The following is a 21,206-nucleotide window of genomic DNA, read 5'->3' on the forward strand; positions in this document are numbered from 1 at the left end:
CAGGCAAAATAAATACCTGTATCCTCTGGTACAAATTTTTATGAAAGTATTTAATTTTTAGGCATAAACTTTACTTAGCATACATAGTTATTTATGATATTACTAGCATACAGTTGTTTGAAACATACAAAACCAGACATTTTACAACTTTATCCAAATAAAATCCATGTAATGGACTTTTCTAAACCTATTACAAGTATTTCACACTCAATTTAAATAATTAAGATAACTATCTTAGATTTGGAATTAATGTTGTTTTTAAATTATTGCTTTTTCTAAAGACAGCACTGGCATGAACGTTATAATATGTGAATTTTTAAAATTCTCTCATATGCTCCAGAAGAAAACAAAACTCACTTTTTAACTCATGCATTTATTATTAACCATATAAAGTGCTTTTCTGACTAAAATATTAAAACATAATTCAGGAAGTATTCTAAGTATTCTGAGTGAAAATATGTTGTAAATATTAATGTTTCACAAATATACTGTAGAATTACAACTCAGACTTAAAACAGGCTGTTCTCCATAGGAGGGAAAAACAATGAACAAACTCACAAAGTCTATTATGACTTACTCTTTTATGACTAAATTTGATTTTTAAAGTAAGATGCTCTCCTTTGATTTTAAGCCTTTAATAAGCAATACTTACTGTTTCAAAATTGTTGCTTTTCATACTAGGAAGTCATATGAAATGCAACACTGATCAAAGAAGAAAGTCTTACTTTCTAAAAACATGCACATGCAAATGAACAATTTCCTGAATACTATTGTACTTAAGAGCAGCATTCATGAATCTGTGAACTGTGTTTCCCTTCTACGGATGGAATCTTGAACTTCAGTTATAGCATGCATGTGTTGCTGGCTTTTAAAGTAATAGAATTTAAATTACCAATTTAAGTAACGTCAGGAAGTAGATCCAATAAAATCCTTTAAAAGTGAATATAAATTATACAGGCTCAGTCAATGCTTTATATACAATTCCCAGTGGCAAGCTATGAAATTCTCTCACACTTAATTTCATCCAAAAATTCAAATACTAATCCACATCTGTTTCAAAACAGTACTATATCAGAGGGATATCCAAAAAATCTTCATCTCTTCATTATAAAATAATTGAGATTAAATGATTTTAGAAACCATATTTTATCTACCAGAACTTAATTTCTAAGCATTAAAAGTTTTTAATACCATGGTTTAACAATAATGAACATTTTTATAAAATTTTAACTCTATTCTCACCTACTTGATAATGTACTAAAAATTCACTTCTGTGGAAGTAAAACACATAAACTCTTAAGTAATACGTACCACCAACAATAATATCAATATGTATTTAGTAATATAGTTGTACTTTGTAGCAACAATGAAAATATGATATTTCAGTCATATTTAGAGACTTGCTTGCAGAGTTTAATCATAATCTTAAATTTATTTGAAGTGATCTTTTTGTTCCTCTTTCTAGTCATAAGTCCCTATGAGTGATAGTTTGATTTCCTACAAATATGTGGAAATAATAATCTTGCCAAACCAAACATTAAAGATACTATGTTCATCTAATATCACTTATAATTCAAGTCACAAAACCATAAATTAATAAAAAATTTTAAATGGGAGCATAGGGATTCACTTCTTTTCCAAGTAGGAGATGAAACACTGATTTTGTGAATGCTTTTCTTAGCCATGTGTATCAGGCATCATGTAAAGTATACATCTACAAGATGAACTGAAACCTATGTATACATTAGTTAAGCAATATTTAATAGCCTATTCAGCATTATTTTGAATACCCCCAAGAGAAACTGTCATAGTTTGTACATAAAAATCTGTAAGAATCTCATCTTTTTTTTCAATAATTCCATAAAATAAGTAACATTTCTTTACTAACCTCACTTTAACTACAGTAAAAAGAAATGAGAAGAATTTGAGGGTTAATTTTAGGAAATCCAAACCCAAAACACATCAATTGCTCTTTACATGTTTGGAATTTGCATTCTTTTCTCTTTCTTCCAACAGGACATAATAAAAAGTACATTAAGTTTATATGTATAATATACACAAATTTGAGTTCTGTTTTGAATGTTTCCTAACTCTTTCTCCACAATAAAACTGCATAGCCCCTATAAAAAAGTGAGGATAATAACAGCCATCTTCTATTTGACAGAAATGTGAAAATTCATATCACATTAATATATAAAGAAAACATCTGTCAACTGTAAACTTTCACATATAACAATAATATCATTAATATATCCTTGTAAAATGATCCACAATATCAATAACACTAGCAACAAACGTTTATTACTCTATTTGTTGGATATTGAATGTGTGTGTGTGTTTGTGTGTGTGTGTTTGTGTGTTTTAATAGGAGGTCCATTTATAAATATACTTTCCTGATGTCATTTCTTCTTCTAGTTGTAACTCTCCTGTGTTTTAAACATGCCATCATAATCTAGTGGAAATAGTATAGTGCTGGATACACAACAGTGCCTTTATAGTAGGACCTTCTCCTGAACTCAGAGTCACAATGATAGAGTGGTTAAAAGCAAGGTTTTAGCATCAGACCTGAGTTTAAATAACAGTTCTACCACTTACCAGTTTGCCTTCTTGGTTATGTAATCTAAGCTCTTTAAGTTTATTTCCATTTCCCTCTCTAAAAAATTGTCATTCTATTATTACATTACTACTTTGCCTATCAAATTTTTCTGAAGACATAAAAGAGATAATGCATGAAAAGGCATAGTAAGATGTCTGTCTTAGAAAACACCCAATAAATATTCATATTTTATGGCTTATGACCTTGTATAAAAGGACAGTAAAAGGAAGAAAATAATACGAAATAATTATGATGGGTATGTAAAAAGTGAAAAATGGGGATGAAAAAGAGAGGGAATCATTCATATTTTGGGTGCACTTTTCTCTATCACTAGACTTCTGAATAAATCAAGATGCTAAAAACATATTCTTGGCTGTAAAGATTTCTTGGTTAAAGTTTAGTAAATTTAAACAAAAACAAATTTTAAAGTGAAAGTGAATATTTTTCATTCTGCACAGTTTCTATGAATTATTTTGTACTTTTCCATGGAATAACTACAGAACTCTGACTTTTCTATTGTAAGGCACATAATATAATCGTTAACTTGAAAAATCAAAATTTAATACTAATGTTTGTGAGAATGACGAAAATACATTTGCATATGTAAATGAAATGCTTCTGGTAATATATACAGTTCAATAAAGAAGTGAAAAATTGATGACTACTCCAACAATTTCCATACAAATTTAAAATATTATCATTTTCTAAAAGTTATATTACTTCCTAAATATTTATCATACTTAATATGATTTTTAAGGCTAAAAGTATTTCTTCACATGAATAATAATTAAAAACACAAAAAATAAGAAAATATTTCTTATGCCTAAAATAGCTGATTATATTATAGTTTTAAGGAAAGTAGAAAGTGTCAGATACACTAAATACATCACTCTTTTCCCTACTCTTCACACACACATCAAAGTGACTCAATTCAACCTCTTCTTGATTTTTTACTGAACAATTATTCACGTCATAGGTTATTGAGCAATCTATAGAACAATGTAGTATTTTAAATAAATCAATTCACTTAGTAGTTTGAAAATGAGTGTTTGTAATCTGGACTCATGACTCCCTTAAGGATAGTTTTACAGACTTCATAGTACTCTAAACTGTGCTATTTAATTTATGATTGAAGTTAGAATTGTTGTTAAAGAAGAAAAGAAAATGAAATCACTAAAATGTGCTAGTTTAACATTTTCTCAAAGAATCCTTATCTGATATTTTCCATTAAGTAAAGGTTAAATTATAAGAATACTTGAGGGATCATCTAAATTTAAATATATAAGCACCAAGGCTTATATATTTCAGTGACTCTGAGTTCACTGAAAGCTTATTTTTATTTAAAAAAAAATCTAAAGAAAGATGTTTCACCAGTTTCCAAAGCTCAATTTAATATGTACACGTGGTCTGTGATCTATGCAGAGAAAGAAAATAGCTAGTTACACTGTATATTGATGCATTTCCAAATTAATTTTGGAATCAAAAAGACAATTAGAGAATAAACAATCTTATAGTCTAAAAAATGTTGAATTTGGAATCAAATAAATAAGCTGTGTTTTCAACCACCTCAGGAAAATATTTTATGACCTTAAGCAAATCATTGAGATTCTTAGAAAATAATGTAATTTTAGACAGGAAAATACCCTGTCTTCATGACAAGAAAACACAAAATTTATAAGAACCTAGTATTTAAACTCTAAAGCAAATTTAAAGCCAAATATTTACTAAAGAAATTCATGTTCAAATAATAACATTTTTAAAGCCAATAATTTGATGGAATGACAAAAATTATTTTAATCTTTGATTTCCTTTTTCATACATAAAAATAAGTTATCTCATCTGTGTGGTCTCTTAGGTATCTTTCAGTTCCACCTATATATAATTCTTTTTTTTTTTAATTTTACTTTAAGCTCTGGGGTACGTGTGCAGAACGTGCAGGTTTGTTACATAGGTATACATATGCCATGATGGTTTTGAAAATGTGGCAGATATATACCATGGAATACTATGCAGCCATAAAAAAGGATGAGTTTATGTCCTTTGCAGGGACATGGATGAAGCTGGAAACCATCATTTTCAGCAAACTAACATAAGAACAGAAAACCAAACACTGCATATTCTCACTCATAATCGGGAGTTAAACAATGAGAACACATGGACACAGGGAGGGGAACATCACACACTGCGCCCTGTCATAGGGTGGGGGGCTAGGGGAGGGATAGCATTAGGAGAAATACCTAATGTAGATTGCTGGTTGATGGGTGCAGCAAACCACCAATATATAATTCTATGAATATAAAACATACTCGGAGTAGGTAGAACCTCTATTACCTCAGCATTCCAATTCTATAACTTCAAAAGGCAAAATTTATGTATATGTCCAAGTGAAAAAAATATCAAATTATCTATTAAGAGATAATATTAAATAACCCACAAATTCATGCTAGTGGTTTTTCACTACTATCAAACGAAGCACCTCTTTCTCCATCCAACCTCATCTACATTTTGGTTAATTATCTCTAAAAGATAAATCAAATATAGTCACTGTTATATTTCTGGTTATTTCCATCTCCTTTTTATGATACATTTTTAAATGTACACATTAACTTGCACATTTACACCTCTTTGATGACTTGGTTTTACTGCATTGTGTGTATATGTGTGTGTGTGTTTAATTCAATCTCTACTTTCTACTTACACTTTGGTCTCTGTGGAATTTGGAATCTAGCTAATTTATTATCTTGGCATTCTTTCTCATCCTGCTGGTGATTTTTTTTTCTTGATCTTTCAAAGCTGTCATTTGGAAACAGCTGGTTTATAAGGCTTCAATTTCTTAATGCTTTTCCTATTGCTTTAAGCACAGAAAAATCTTATGTTTTTGTTCCTGTTTTATAACACTGAATATTAATATCATGTAACTGCTAACCACTTGATGACTGCCTGCTCTTAGAACTTAAATAATGTATCTGAGTTAAAAAGAACAAATTGAGAGGGGACTTTTTCATTGTTTTTAATGGTTTGTCTTATTATACTAGAATTCTGGTGATGTAATTCATAAATGGGAGGATGACAGGCAGAAGGTATATACATTACTTCCTGAGTTTTCATTACTTATTTAGAAATTTAAGTCTTCTCCATCAGCTCAAGATATGGAGACATTCATTTACCATATCTCATCATAAATAGTCTGCCTCCATTTTTGACATTAGACTGCTGACTGCTTTCAAGTGCCAACACTCTTCCTTTCCCTTTTGCCCCATGGATGGGGAAGCTGGTAAGTCCCAGTCTATATGTAGGACCTCACTCCAGCCCCAATATATATATTTTTTTAATTTTAAAAATTATTTATTTATTTATTTTAAGACAGGGTCTTGCTCTGTTGCCTAGGCTGGAGGGCAGTGGCAGGATCTCTGCTCACTGCAACCTCCACCTCCCAGCTCAAGCAATCCTCCTGCCTCAGACTCCCGAGCAGCTAAGACCACAGGCATGGAGCATCACGCCTGGCTAATTTTTGTATTTTTGTAGAGATGGGGTTTCACCATGTTGCCCTGGCTGGCCTAGAACTCCTGAGCTCAAGCTATCCTCCCATGTCAACCTCTCAAAGTGCTGGGATTACAGGCGTGAGCCACCATGCCCAGCCCAGCCCCAATGCTTAATCGTGATGAAAGCCAAGCCAGTTTCTTTTCCTTGCTCTTTCCAGCCCAAGCCATTTTTTGACCTGGTTGGAAGCCTGCCTCACTCTCCATGGAAAGCCTCATTATATGAGTTGTAGCCCTTTCAATACCCTCTTAGTGCAGGTGTGCAATCATCAGTCTCAACAGGACTGGATTTGGGATGGTGGTTGGGTATTATCCCATCTATGAAAGGTAGTCTTAACAACTGGCACAGCAAGGGGTATCTAGGCAATGACCACCACCACTGGGGGTCTCTCTTCTTATGTTTTGCCTTGTTAATTTGTTGTATTGTCGAGACAATTATGCTGTTTGAGTTTTTTTCTGCCCACTGGCAAGCATACTTTAACCTGTGCAAATTTATGCTGCATTTGCTGAGTCTTTCCAAGTTTCTGTTTAGAATTAAATGAACTTAATGCCTGGAAGCATCAGTAATATTTAGGAACGGGAGTTTGGTAATAGCTCCATGTCATGTGTCTTAGCCCAGACCTATCTTTGTGTCTAATATTGAATCAAGTGGTTGGTATCCAGTAAGAAATGTGGCTGACACTAGGCACAGGGGAATAATTCCTACTGTGTGATCACTGGTTGTATGTCTCAACCATGCATCAGCCCCCATTCTACAGTGTGTCCTAGGAAAAATACCTGTTACTTTGTGCACTATACAGGTCCATTGGGTGGTTGCTTGTATGGAAGAAGAGCAGTTACCATGTGGAATGCTGAGGTTCACACTCCTAAAAGGAGATAGCTCATGTGTCCACCCCAAAAAATGCTTCTGCTACTGTTGCTGTCTATGCCTCCATAACAGCACAGTTCCTGATCCCCACAGTTATAGAGAAAAGCAAACATGGGACTCTGTGGCATACCCAAGAGGTTAATTCAAACCCAACTTCAATCTAGGGAACTTAAAATCTGATGAAGCAACCATTGCCATCAGGGAGGCCCATAACCCTGATGATACTTACTTGAGACTCTCTGAAGGAGGCTTGTAAAAATGAGCAGGATAGAAAATAAAAACAAAACAACAAACAAACAAAAAACAGCACCAGCCCCAACAACAAAAACAAAACTGGATATAGGAGGAAGAAGCAGAAAACTGGATACACAGGAGAAAACAAAAATATAAACAGAAGTCTATAATTTGTCCCACTTGGAAATTCTTAAATTACTTGAAGAATTTATAAAGGCAGGTAAGTTTGCTGAATGGTGTTGTGCCTCTACAACATAAGCTCCAAATTAACTTATATGTTTCCTGAGACGCACCCATTGGCAAAAGTTAAGAAACTTAATCAAAGTTGAGGATTGAACTATAGTTATCACTGGAGATGCCACTAAATTTAAACAAAGTACCCTAAATATGGGAATTGCACTAAAATAAAGGTACCTCCCCTTACTCTTATGGAGGTGATTATCACATATAAAATACAGGGCAAATAAATATACCTTATCTTAACCATCAGAATTACTTTCTGGCCTAAATACTCCATGGTCATAACAGATATTGTCTAAAAATATCCCATAGTAGACATGGATGCTCTGAACCAATTAATGACAAATTAAAGTAAATCAAATCAAATCTTTGACATGTACAAGTAGTTTGACAATATAGAATCACATGCATTTTCTGTCTTCTCAATATAAGTAGTTAATAAGGACTACAATAACTGGAACAAGGAACCCCTTACCTAAGAACTATTTAGAGAAGGGGTAATAGTCACCACTGCTTCTCCTTTTAATAGTCAAATTTGGCCTGTTCTTAAACCTGAAAAAAATAAATGGAGGCTGGTAGTAGATCATCCAAAGCTTAATGCTGTGGTTCCACATATTAAGGCCACCATTACTTGGTGACACTACTGACTCCTTTCAATCAGCAATTTGTAAATACTTTGTAGTCATAAAGTCATAAGGATTTGACAAATATGTTCTATTAAGTGCCTCTTTTGATAGCCTCTTACACTCCTAAAAGGAGATAGCTCATTTGGCCACCCACAAAAATGCTCCTGCTGCTGTTGCTGCCTATGCCTCTGTAACAACACAGATCCCGATCCCCACAGTTACAGGGAAAGGCTTATAGCTTTTCTTTATCTTCAAAAGAACTCAAAATTCTCTACCTGACTACACATAGAATACTTAAACAGTCCTGCTGTCACAAACAATCCCTCTGCAGGCAGATCTTTACTGCATCCAAGTTTCTGTGGGAAAATAGGTATGACATTACATTGATGCCATGCTCTTCCAAGGAGATTCCTTTGACACACTCATTCAGGATGAATAAACATTCAAAAAGGAGCTCACAAGAAAGAATAGACCATTGTCTTATACAAACTGCAAGGCTCCCCAGTGTAGTCAAATTTCTGAGCATTATTTGATCAAAGGCTACTTCATCACTGACACGCTCGAGAAACAATGACCTGTCAGTATCCACAATGTTAAGACAAAACTAACATTTTTAGGCCTTTTGGGGTTTCGGATGGAAGATATTCCTCATTAACAAGTATCACTTTTTACTTAAGCCCATTTATGCTCCTACTTGCAAACTGGCCCACACTGAATTAGACCCCTTAAAACAGAAGGCTCTAGAATCTCTCCAAATTGCAATTACAATAGGCAATCACATTGTTCACCTCTTCTACTGCCTCCTGCATCAACCACAGTGGTGCTCGTGGGCTTCTGGTAGCAAAAACTATCCTCCTTGGTTACATGCTATATACCATTAGAACAGCAACTGCTGGTTGCATACTGAGCTCTACTGAAATCAGATGCCCTGCGCTCAGGACTGTGCACTCAGTGGTCCACTGTGCCTTTGGTTATGAAAGCATCACCCTGCAAGTCTGACATAGCCACCAAAGACTCTATAGGAAAGGGCCAAACTTGGGCATAAGTCACTTGCAGGAAGGAAAAGTTTCCCCTATCCTCAGCCCCTTGTCATATGCCATGGTACTTGAGCATGTCACTCCTATCCTAAATCCCTTGGCTACCTAGGGAGCCCCTTGGGATTAATCAAGTGAACAGTGCATGGATGGTGGTATTGTGTTAAATGTGATGAAGCTCACTGGAGAACTGCTGCTTTTGATCCCTTAAAATGACAGACCTAACAAAGGACAGGACCCAAAGGTTAGCAGGGAATCATTTGAGCACTAGACACCCTGGATAAAAACAGGTCCCACTTGCACATTTCTACAGACTCTTGGGTCACTGCCTGTGGTTTGGCCATCTGGTCCAGCCAACGGCAGAAACAATTCCTAATCCAAGGTTGCCCTCCAAGGTAAAGAACTCTGGGAATCCCTTGCCTCATACATACACAAAATAATAATCAAGGTCACACATGTCTTTACACATACATATACACCTACACATTTAAGACCATAATACAAGGCTCATCAAAACAATTCTTACCACCTTCTATATTCCAGACATCATTGAAAGTGACCAAGACATGAATTTCACTTTTCCAAAATACACAATGCTGTGCTTTTGAACAAGGCATTTAAGATAACTTTCATCTCCCTACTAACCACAGGCTACAAGCTTCACGGAGCATTTTATTAAATGAAACAAGGCACATTTCAGTCACCCATCCAACATCACGAGTGAACTGTAACAGTGTCTCACTCCAGTTTTGATGTTTGACTGCTGACAGCTTTCAAGATCCAATGCAACCTTCTGCCCCAGATTTGAGCTAGTTGATAAGAAAGCCTGGGCACTTCTTCCTTTTTCCCTAGCAGGAAGTTTATGCTCCTTATGCATGAGAAACCTCACCCAAAACCCAGCCCTAAACATGATAAAGGCCAAAACAAAAATGATCTGCTTCCTCAGACCTACTTAGGAGCCCATCTTGCTCTCCCCACAAAAAAAAAAGAAACTCAACAAAAACTCTTGGGGCATATGTGGCATCCTCAGTTTTAACATCCAAACCAAATTTTGGGTGAATTCTCCACACTGCCTCTGTGGAGTGGTAAAAATTCTCCTCAGAACTATATCCAGTTTATGTATACAATCATTAGATCTAGGTAAAAAATAATAATAATAATAAAGAAATAATGCAATACATGTCCCATCCACTTAGCACCTTATAATCTGTGAAGAAATCAAAGGCGTACAATCATAAACAATTACATAATAATTAAGGGTAAAATGATAGGTACCAAAATTAATGACAGAAGTGGTACAAATAAAATTGTGTAAAGATGGAATTAATGTAAGTGTGAGCAGATCTGAAAGAATGATTCTATGTTAAGAAAGATATCTGTGATTGACTTTAGCAAATATATGTTGAGCACTTGTGCAAAGCACATTGGATACAATAATAAAAACGTAGGCATGATTTCCATACTATTTATTTGGTATGGACTATAGTGGCCCAATGGTCTGGTTTCAACATGCGAGTGTGTGTATATGTGTGTGTGTGTGTGTGCATGTACGTGTAAAACCTACACACTACAAGGTAGGCCAGAGGGGCTATCACTCAATCACCTTCAGTGTATTATAGTCCAGAAGTTTAGAGGTAAGCTCCCAATTTCAAGTTTTATATCTCAGTATTTTCAGTTGTGGACTAGTAAGCAGAAGAGAAATTAGGAATTAAGAATATGGGACTATATACAAAAATTAGCTATCATGGAGGCCAAGGAAGAAGTCTTTTTCTTGGAATGAAATGAGGTGTTGGATATTATCAACTAGCTCTTACTACAGCCTTTTTTTCCCCTGTAATCTACCTGCCATAAAAAATACCTATTGTTATAAAGACACTGAAGAAGAGGAGAATTGAGAAAATGTTATTAGTTTATTTAGCAATGCTTATGGCGGAAGTTTCAAATACAGGTCATGCATCTTGCATTCATACAAGTATGCTACACAGGTTACCAATGACCCTGAGAAATAAATTTTCCAAATAACAATTTTCAATATTTAAGGTTTACAATCCTTTTGTAACGTACTCATAACTTTTGAGTTGTGGTGTTCAGAAATTTATTTTAAATACTTAATAAAATAGCCTTAATTTTCTCATGTTTCTCCATCATATGACTCCATTTATGTCACTAATACTATTTTTTAATTGTTTTTCTTATGAAATCAGACTATTTCTGTTTTCTTTCACTGTGCAGTAGTGGGATGTTTTTTATCTTTTCTAAAGGTATAGAATTGCTTTTCTTTTAAAAGTTAATGCAAATTTTAAAAATAATATTATTAGCACCAAAATTATTATTGATGTAAATTTGATAACTACTTTTTTGGATCTCAAAACATGTCTTTACCCATCTACTATTTATTTGGTAGGGATTATAGTGGCCCAAGGTCTAAATCAGCCTAGCCCAAATCAAGACTGATTTCATTATAATTAATTTTTCATTTGTTAGAAAATTAAAGAACGGTTTCTGTAACCAAAAGGTTCATTTTATGTCTAAATGTCTAGAAATCACATCACCAAATATAAAAACGTATTTGCTTTCTACACACAAAAAATTAAGTATGTATGCTTAGGTTTGTATATATTATGCATATTTATATATATTTGTAAAGAATATTGCTAGACAGCTGAATCATGTTAGACTCTATAATTGACTTACAAACAAAATCAACAAAGAGAAAAGCATTGTATAAACACACAAATTCAACGTACGCATACAGGCAGTCAAATTGTATGCATCATTAGAATCACGGTTTCATTGCCAGCTCTGTTAACTTAGCAGTGCAATTTATAATTTTCCAGAATTACCAAAATATATAGTCTAAAGCAATGGTTTCAACATGCATGTGTGTGTATATGAGTGTGTGTGTATGTGTGTGTGCGTGTAAGTGTAGAACCTATACACTATAAGGTAAGCCAGTTACTGAAATATATAGACTAAAGCAATGGTTTCAACATGCAGGTGTGTGTGTGTGTGTGTGTGTGCATGTATGTGTAAAACCTACACACTACAAGGTAGGCCAGAGGGGCTATCACTCAATCACCTTCACTATATTATAGTCCAGAAGAAAGGACCTAACTGTGAAGCTTTCAAAAGCCAGTACAGTGATTCTAATGTGAGTACAGCACCTCCCCAACCATACACAAAAGATTTTAAACACACACACAACCACACACACACAAACACACACGCACACACACATAATTCCCTTATCCTTTGCAGCATCTGAGAACCAATGGATAAATAAGCCTGTGGAAAGAAAATTTTTATGTTACATGCAATGCTTTAATTAAAGAAAAGAATACTATAAGACCTGGTAAATACAAATATTTGTATTCTTATGTAAATAGTCTATCTAAAATAGTACTATGGATCTAAATATACCACTGCTTACAGATCATGACTTCCTTATGAAGACCTAGGGAACTTAAATCAACTTTATAATTTTCTCTTCAGTTTTCATTTTGTAGACTAGCAGCCATTTGACAGGGAGCTGTGATTAAAAGCTTAAGTTACTTTCTGTGGCAGTGCTAAGTACAAGAATGATCTTTAGGCAGTTTAAGACGTTAAGTGGACAGAAAGCCATGACTACGTAGTTAAATTAAGTCAAATAAATTGGATGCATTAAATAGCCTCTTGTTAGTAAGTGTGCCAGTGAAACTCTTATTAAGTTAAAGTAGGTAAATAATGAAAGTAAGAAATGCTTTCCTGGGTTTGAGAATGAATGAGATTAAGAATCAGTAGAACTAGAAAATATTAGGAAAAAATTATAAAATAAGGTAAGAGAAAGATTTAAGAGTACAGTTTTTGTTAGAGAGAAAGTGAAACAGAATTACAGATGAGCTCAGACTCATTATGTCTGCGAGTGTGTGTTTGTGTGTGCCTATCTGTGAATTAGGATGCATCGAAGGTCAGTGAACACAGCTGTGCTTGACTAATATGAAAGTACTTAATCACGAGAATACTTACTTTACATATTTTATTTATAACTTTAAGTGAATTGACATGAACATTCTCTGAGGTGGTATCATCCACCCAAAAACAATGCACCAATGAAGAATGATGAAGTAAGATCTACGTTACTCTATGAGCTTTGCCACAGAATTACTTGCTTTTAACACTGAACAACTCACTCCACACATCTCTGCCTTTCTTCTACCTTGTGAAATGATAAGAATATGTTTTTTACTTAATCTTCACTCTGCTACATATAGCCAAAGTTCAGGCACAGCTAGTAAAAGGAGAGGGCAAGATTTAAACTCAGATCATTGTGTTCCAAGCCCAGTGCTAATTGGTCAGGCAAAATAATTGGATAAGTGACTTGTCCAGGAATGGGACAAGAGGATAGAGTAGCTTAAAATCCAGCAATAAAAATTTTTATTTGAAATAGTAGGCATCAGATATACACTACGGATTCTTTATCATGTGAGTAAAGAAAAATGATCATCAATCTGGCTGCACTATGCAAGATATTGAAGGGAAGAAAGTTTTGGTATATTAAATCCACCAAAATTAATTAAATCGAAGAAAGGCCATGAAGTTTTTATGTCAACCCTCTGAAAAACCTTTTTTTTGCTTATGTATCTTAAGTACTTACCTGGATGCATTTGGTGCCTAGTGTTACCCAATAAATATTTGTAATTCTGGTAGATAACAAGATGGAGAGGATCTTCCAGATAAAGTTTATGTATTTGTGTTTCATGTTAAGGAATTAGAACAGATAGAGCTACAAACCCAGCTTTGCCATCTATCAACATAGATGACTTGTTGAAACCACAGGAAGCGATTAACGCCCCAAGGTGATGTGTAGAAAAGACCAAAAAAACTATAAACATCTTTTGTAAACATGTGGTTTATTTCACTCAGCGTAATCTTGTCCAGGTTCATCCATGTTGTTCTCCTTCTCTCAAAAAGTCAAATTCATGGAAAAAGAGTAGGATGGTGGTTACCAATGGCCAGAGGATGGGGGAAATGGGAAGATGATGGTTAAAGATAACCTTCTGTTATAAAGTGAATAAGTTCTGGATACCTAAAGTACAGCATGGTAACTACAGTTAATGTATCATATGCTTGAAATTTGCTAAGAGAGATCTTAAGACGTCTCACTATAATATTATTAAGAATATTTACATACACCATGGTTAAGTAAAACATCTTCTGAAATAAATCAGTCTGAAATCTATAACCTTTTATGTCTAATTAGAGAATGCACTAAGAATAACATAAGGGTTCTCCTGCATAGTAAAGGAGGTCTACTCTAAAAAGTTGAAAAGCAAAAGAAAACTAGTTTTCTAATCACTTTAAAAACCATGATAATATCTTGAAATATCTTTCATTATTAACTTTAATTAGCACACAAATATCGAAACAAATACTTCTTAGAATTTAATCTTTACAATGGCAAATTCCAGGAAATTTACTGGGGAAATATAAGTACATTAATTTGAAAAGAAAACATTTATATGCATTTAAGTTTAAATGATTTATTTCATTTTAATGTCTGAGTATTAAATTCAATATTTAATATTATTTTTCTTTAATAGCTCTGAATTAATATATTACACCATTTGAGGAAAGGGAAACAAACAGAAAATACTTACTTGTGATGCTATTTTTCGAGACTGACACAACGGGAGGGAAAAAGAAACACACAAAACACAGTTTAAACAATGACTAAACAATAGATGCATGCCAACAATCAGTAACAAGGACAAAATGTAACATATACCCACATAACAAAATCCAATTGCATGCATATTTCTCGTATGGCTTTTGAACAAAATTAGATAAAGAATAAGCTATTATTTTTAAAGATTCAGTCTTGTTAGATTGTTTTTGTTTTGCTGAAATTGTCTTCCCATTGTAATAGTAGAGTGTTAATGATCGGCAGACGGGACAATGGTTATTCCACTATGCACATTTTTGGAATTTACAAGATTTATTCACTATAAAAGTAGCCATAATCCAGGGTAACACATTCCACAAATGTACTCCATACACTATAAATGATATTGGTACATTAATATGCTTTAAGTATAAAAGTTTGATAGAAAAAGTGGTGCTTGTAGAAGAAAATAAAATAATTGGTAGTAGCTTATAAAGCTACTATAGTCATAACAGAATACTTGATATAATTATTGACATTCTATAATCATTATTGGTGTTAATATTTGTACTATTTTTTAATTTCAGATCTTACAGTAAGATTGATTTTTTCTCCTACATACATATGTAATTAAGTTAGTTGACAGAAATATTCTGAGCTTTCATATTGGCTATGGAATCTAAACTAATTGATTTCCTTAATCAATGTATCATAGCTAAGTAGGGGTTATAAATAAAAATCATGCTGTCTTATTCTTCAAATTTAAAGAACAATAGTCTATTCATTTTTGAATAGGTGGAAGTAACATTTTCAAGTATATTATTTGATGTAATATAACTTGTAATATAACTCCTCTAGTGTTAGTATTATAAGTATTATAATAGTATTATCTATAACTGAAAATATAAGAAATGCATAATAAACATTTGATTGTGGGTTTCTTGAAACTATTTCAGGATTCCTTACACATGACACAATGGAATAAATGTTGTTTGAGAGAATAATAGCAAAGAATGGACAGGTAGAATTTTACAACCAGTCAATCCTAAACCTTATTAAAATAATCTTAATGAGATTTTATAATAGGTAAATTTGTATCTTAATAATATATTTTAAAAGCTACTTCCCATTGTAATAGTAAAGTGTTAATGATTGGCACATGGGACAATGTTTATTCCACTATGCACATTTTTGGAAGCTACAAGATTTATTCACTATAAAAGTGGCCAAAATTCAGGGTAACACATTCCACAAATGTACTGCATACACTATAAATTATGTTGGTATATTAATATGCTTTAAAAGATGTTTTTCTGGTTCCTAGTAAAATGTTCACTGGTTATAGTATACTTCAAACAAATGAGATTTTCTGCACACTGGAAAACTGGAGGCAAACATAGGTCTACCTTTTCTTAACCAAAGGACAAATATGCTTAATAATTCAGAATTGTTCAGATTTTGGAAAATTAATACTATGTTATATGCTATATAGTAGCTAATACCCCCAGTGGAACCTAGGTAGCCTTCATTTTCAAAAATTAATATTTCTGCAATGAAAAGTATAAATATTCACTCTCAATGGAATAAGTAAACATTATAAATAATCTCATGAAAATTAAGGTGACATTTTGCCACTAAATGACTTCAGGGAGCCTTTTGACATTTTATACTTTTATATTATGGATTGAGAAGGAAAATACTGATCCTTTTTGTCCACTAAGAGTAATATGTGTCCCTGTCCTTCCTATATATGTTGTTCGAACCAGGAGTATCTGATGTTTGTCAAAATTCCCTGAACTGAAAACACATAGATAGTGGCAGAAGTTCTCCTGGCATGGAGGGCATATGACTAATTATGAATGGGCAGTTCCATCTCTACTCTGCTTTCCATAGACTGATTTTCCAGCCACTGTGTGCACCCTCACTTTACTTTCTGCTGTGTTTGTGTGACTTCTCCTTTCACTAATCTACATCACACCAGAAAAAAATGAGATAGTATTCCAGGCCTTCTATAAATGTTAATAGTTTTGATTATCAATGTTCTTTACCAACGTTTGTCTTTTTAAAAATGTCAGCTAAACATTAGGCAGTGCTTTCCCACTCCCACAGCCAAAGCAGTTATATCAGAGATATAAAAAATGATAACTTTTGTTTTCTCTACTCAGAACATGGAAAGATGACAGGCTGGAAAATGATGTGGCATGAAAACCTGCATCTGCCTTTAAAAGTATTTTTTTTTCCATGAATAAACCAGAAAGCAAAGCCTAAAGTCTTTATATTAGTTTATCCTTATGTAAAAAGCTGATATTTAATAAATGTTCTTCATAGTACAGAGTAGAATTTAGCATTTAAATGTGTATATACTAAAGAAATAATTAATGAATGGGTCTGATATCACCACATTATGCCTTTACATCTGTTAGTGCTTTTTACTAGTTATACATGCATGGTTTGAACAGTCAGAAAATGTTATAGCTGGTTTAGAAAAATAGCAGCTTATAGCATAATATCTCTTAATTCCCTCTCATAAGACCCATCTACTTTTGCCTCTTTTAGTTGGTTATGTTGTTCTTTCTCTCTCTGTTTCTATAGAATATGCCTGATTATTATTTCATGTTTTTTTCAGTTTCTGCTTTTATCTATTGACTTCTCACTCTGCAAGAAGAGTCATTAACAGTCTTTTCCATATATTCCACTACCTTTGCCCTCATCATCTCAAAATAGTTCAACATAATTTTTATTGGATCAAAATTCAGGACATACCATGACTAAGTATACTTTACAGATAAGATATATAGGTATGTGGTTAGTATTCATTTCCTGCACACATTCTTTCATTGTTGATAACGATGTTATATTCCTAAGGTCAGTAATTGCTTTATTGTATTAATTGCTTTGATATGTAATTAGATATATGCAATAATTCATCCTGAACTCTTTGGCAACTTTCTAATATTAATTTAAAACATTGAGATGCATCAGGATTAATCTTCCTAAAGAATTCTCTCTGAAGCCTTCTGACCTGCTCTAGGTCTCCCTTTATGCTTGGGGGTCTTTACATCACCATCCTATTGATCCTCTTTACTTCATTCTTGTCGCTGGTTTCCATAAAACGTCTGGTTTCCTGCAGATCATTATTTCTCCTTCATTTTACTCATTCATTCTGGTGGGAGTAGTTTCCTTAGACAGCAGACTTGGGAAGGATATTTTTGGAGAATATATATATTTGATATCTGATTTATTCTACTCTTACACAACTTTGCTTTGACTGGATAAAAAAATCTAATTTGAAAATAATACTCTTTCAAAATCTTGAGAGCATTGTTTCATTTTATTCTGGCTTGTGGTATTGCTGTTGAGAAAACCCCAATAGTACCTTGTATGTGACCTATCGCACGTCTCCTGCTCATCTCTCTGAAAGATTTTAGGATCCCCTCCTTTCCTTCAGTGTTTTGAAAATTGGTGATGTGATTCACTGTTTAATTCACTGTTGTGGACACATGGTAACCCTTACCATTTGGAAACTAACACACTACTGATTTTTCTAGAATTATTACAGTAATATTTCTTCAATTTGTATGCATTTCCTCTTTCTTGAAATCTTGTGATTCAAATCTTAGAACTCCTAGACTAATTCTCTAATTTTATCTTTTCTTTACTCATTGTCCATGTTTTGAATTCTTGCTCTAGTTTATCAATAACTTCCTGAACTTCATATTATAAGCTTTTTCACTTCTGTTGGGAATTTTTAGTTGTCTTCTTCTTAGAGTAAATGACTAATAAGTTAACTGAAAGCTCTGGGTGAGATTCTTTTTATTGCTGCATTTCATGGTGATCTGGCTGGATTACAAACTTAAAGAATCTCCCACATCTGTATTTTTAGGGCCTTCCACGTGGGTTGGTCAGTTTCCCTAAGAAAGAGTCTTTCAATCTGCTGAAGTGTAAAGCGTACAGAATGTATCTTTTAACTTAGCGTTCAGAATTCAGTGTGATACTCCTAGCCCTCAACTCTTTCCGGGGTCCAGAGGCCACAGACCACTTCCATAGACTAAACCTTTAATATGTGTTTATATGGAGAGACTGACAGCAGCAAAGCTTTCTGAACTGTTGAGGAAAATTGAGATCTGACAGCAACCTAAGCAAAAATATAGACTCTCCAATAGTAATTACTGAAAGAAGTTTCTAATTCCTGAAATCTAGTGTCTTTCTTTAAGTTCAAGTAAGAGAACAGGGCCATTTTGAACACTAATGGTTATTTAAATTTCAAAACTTTGTTTTTGAATCATTTCATATTTGAGAGACATGGTGAACTGTCAGAGTCAATTTTATTTTGTTAGATCCACTAAGCTCTTATTCTGCGTTTTTATATAATCTTAAAAAAATAATGTTTTATTCTTTAAATACAAAAAAAAACCTCAATGTCTTTATTGGGTTAATATTTAATTGATATCCCTTCCTACTTTTTTAGTTAAAGATTAATGTAAGAGATATGCACTTTAATGGTATTTTTTTCATCTTGCAAAGCTATGAGCAAAGATAGATATTACTCATCATGGTATCTAAAATCTCCAAATTCAGGAAGCAAATAATATACTCATTCTTTTAAAAAATGACCAAGAAAAACAAATCTTTTGCAAGATGAATTTTATCCTTTCATGTATCAGACCATAATTACTATATAGATCAACATATTGCTATTTTTTACCTTATTTACCAGGAAATTAAAAATAGAAGTCAGGCTCAACTGTAGCACTCAGTTTATGCTAGTACAGTAACACTAACTTCTCAAAACATTTACGACAAAATATTTTGTTGTAAAAAGTGCTTGATGTTTCTACTGTTTATCTTTGTTAGTTGCCTCAATTCTTTCTACAATAGGCAGAATTTAATTTAATAACAATATGTGTGTCAGAAGATGGATTGAATTCAGTAGAGAAAAACAAGAGGCATTATTTTTATTTAAAACAGTGTCCTTTTATCATCCCAATGATATATATTTTTAATATAATCTAGATATTTGAGAATTTACAAGCATTTTAATGAGGTAATCTTTATTTGCTATGGGCAGAGTTGACTAAATGTAGTTAAATACTCCTTGATGACAATTCAAATACTCAGTATCCTTTTCCTATCTGCAATGTCAACAGCACAAAAGAAGTATTTTAATAATATATGAACATTATTATAATACATAATACTGACATGGACATGGAGTTGACCAAGGCCAGAATTTACTGCATTACAATTCCCAAAGCCTATATGTGAGACAAAAAATCAGGGCAACACTCTACTGTATGAAAGTCTTCTTTGTACTTGCTATGGTCAAATAAGAAATGATTTGTATACACTAAATATTTGTTCTCCATCACCCCACAATGCATATGTGAAAACCTAATCCTCAATGTTGATGATATTTGAAGGTGGGGCTTTGGGAAGGTGATTAGATCATGAAAGAGCCTTATAAAAGAGGACTCAGAGAGATCCCCTTCCCTTTCCACCAGATGAGAATTCAGTGAGAAGATGCCTATCTGAGAACCAGGAAGCAGGTCGGCAACAGACACGTAATCAACTGGTGCCCTGATCTTGGACTTCTCAGCCTTCAAAACTTTGAGAATTAAATTTCTGTTGTTTACAAGCCACCCAGTCCATGGTATTTTGTTATAGCAGCCTGAACAGATCATGATCGTGCTTAATTACTTGGGTATGAAAGCACTTGATCTTCTCTTAACCTTTAATTAAATAATATTGTTTTGAATCCAGTATTCTTAAAATTTTAGGCATATCTAGACAAACATCTTACATATTTAACTGTCTGGTTTGTTTTTCCAGTCAGTCATTCCTGATTTTCTCTTGATTTGTCTCATTCTTTGCAGTGTGAACCACAACCACCACAGGAAAAGAAAAACTCAGACTCAGGAGGAGAGACGGCAGCAAAACTCCATTAAAAAATTTTTTTTTATTATTATTTGAGACAGAGTCTCGCTCTGTCACCCAGGCTGGAGTGCAGTGGCGTGATCTTGGCTCACTGCAACCTCCGACTCCCAGGTTCAAGCAATTCTTCTGCCTCAGCCTCCCGAGTAGCTGGGACTACAGGTGTGCACCACCACACCTGACTAATTTTTGTATTTTTTTTTTTTAGTAGAAATGGGGTTTCACCATATTGGCCAGTCTGATCTTGAACTCCTGACCTTGTGATCTACCTGCCTAGGCCTCCCAAAGTGCTGGGATTACAGGTGTGAGCCACTGTGCCAGGCCACATAGCTCCATTTAACACTCCTGAAGCTAAAGTGACACCACCAAGAAGCAACTCAGAAAAACTAACCTATTTTCTGCTGGTAACTTATATAAGTGTCAAACTATAAATTTGATCAGCAACAACAAAAATCTACCCCGTTATCTTTATGCTTTCTATAAAGTTCTTTTCTATA

At 33.6% G+C, this 21,206-nt stretch overlaps 1 protein-coding gene across 10 annotated transcripts in view; it reads right to left on the minus strand.

The window, feature by feature from the left end:
• Positions 1 to 21,206, minus strand: part of KCNT2 (potassium sodium-activated channel subfamily T member 2) — a 382,662-nt gene that overhangs the window by 32,916 nt on the left and 328,540 nt on the right. For 6 of the 10 annotated variants that reach the window (NM_001287820.3, XM_006711295.4, XM_006711294.4 and 3 more), the window contains one exon: positions 14,774 to 14,794. The exons of 3 other annotated variants lie outside the window; for them this stretch is intronic. In NM_001287820.3, the coding sequence (NP_001274749.1) occupies positions 14,774 to 14,794 (21 nt within the window). Of the gene's footprint in view, positions 1 to 892; positions 931 to 14,773; positions 14,795 to 21,206 lie in introns of all 10 variants that reach the window. One more of the 10 variants, NR_146058.2, reaches the window with a different exon arrangement.

The sequence above is a fragment of the Homo sapiens genome, chromosome 1, assembly GCF_000001405.40.
Source record: "Homo sapiens chromosome 1, GRCh38.p14 Primary Assembly".
Classification (NCBI taxonomy): Eukaryota; Metazoa; Chordata; class Mammalia; order Primates; family Hominidae; genus Homo; species Homo sapiens.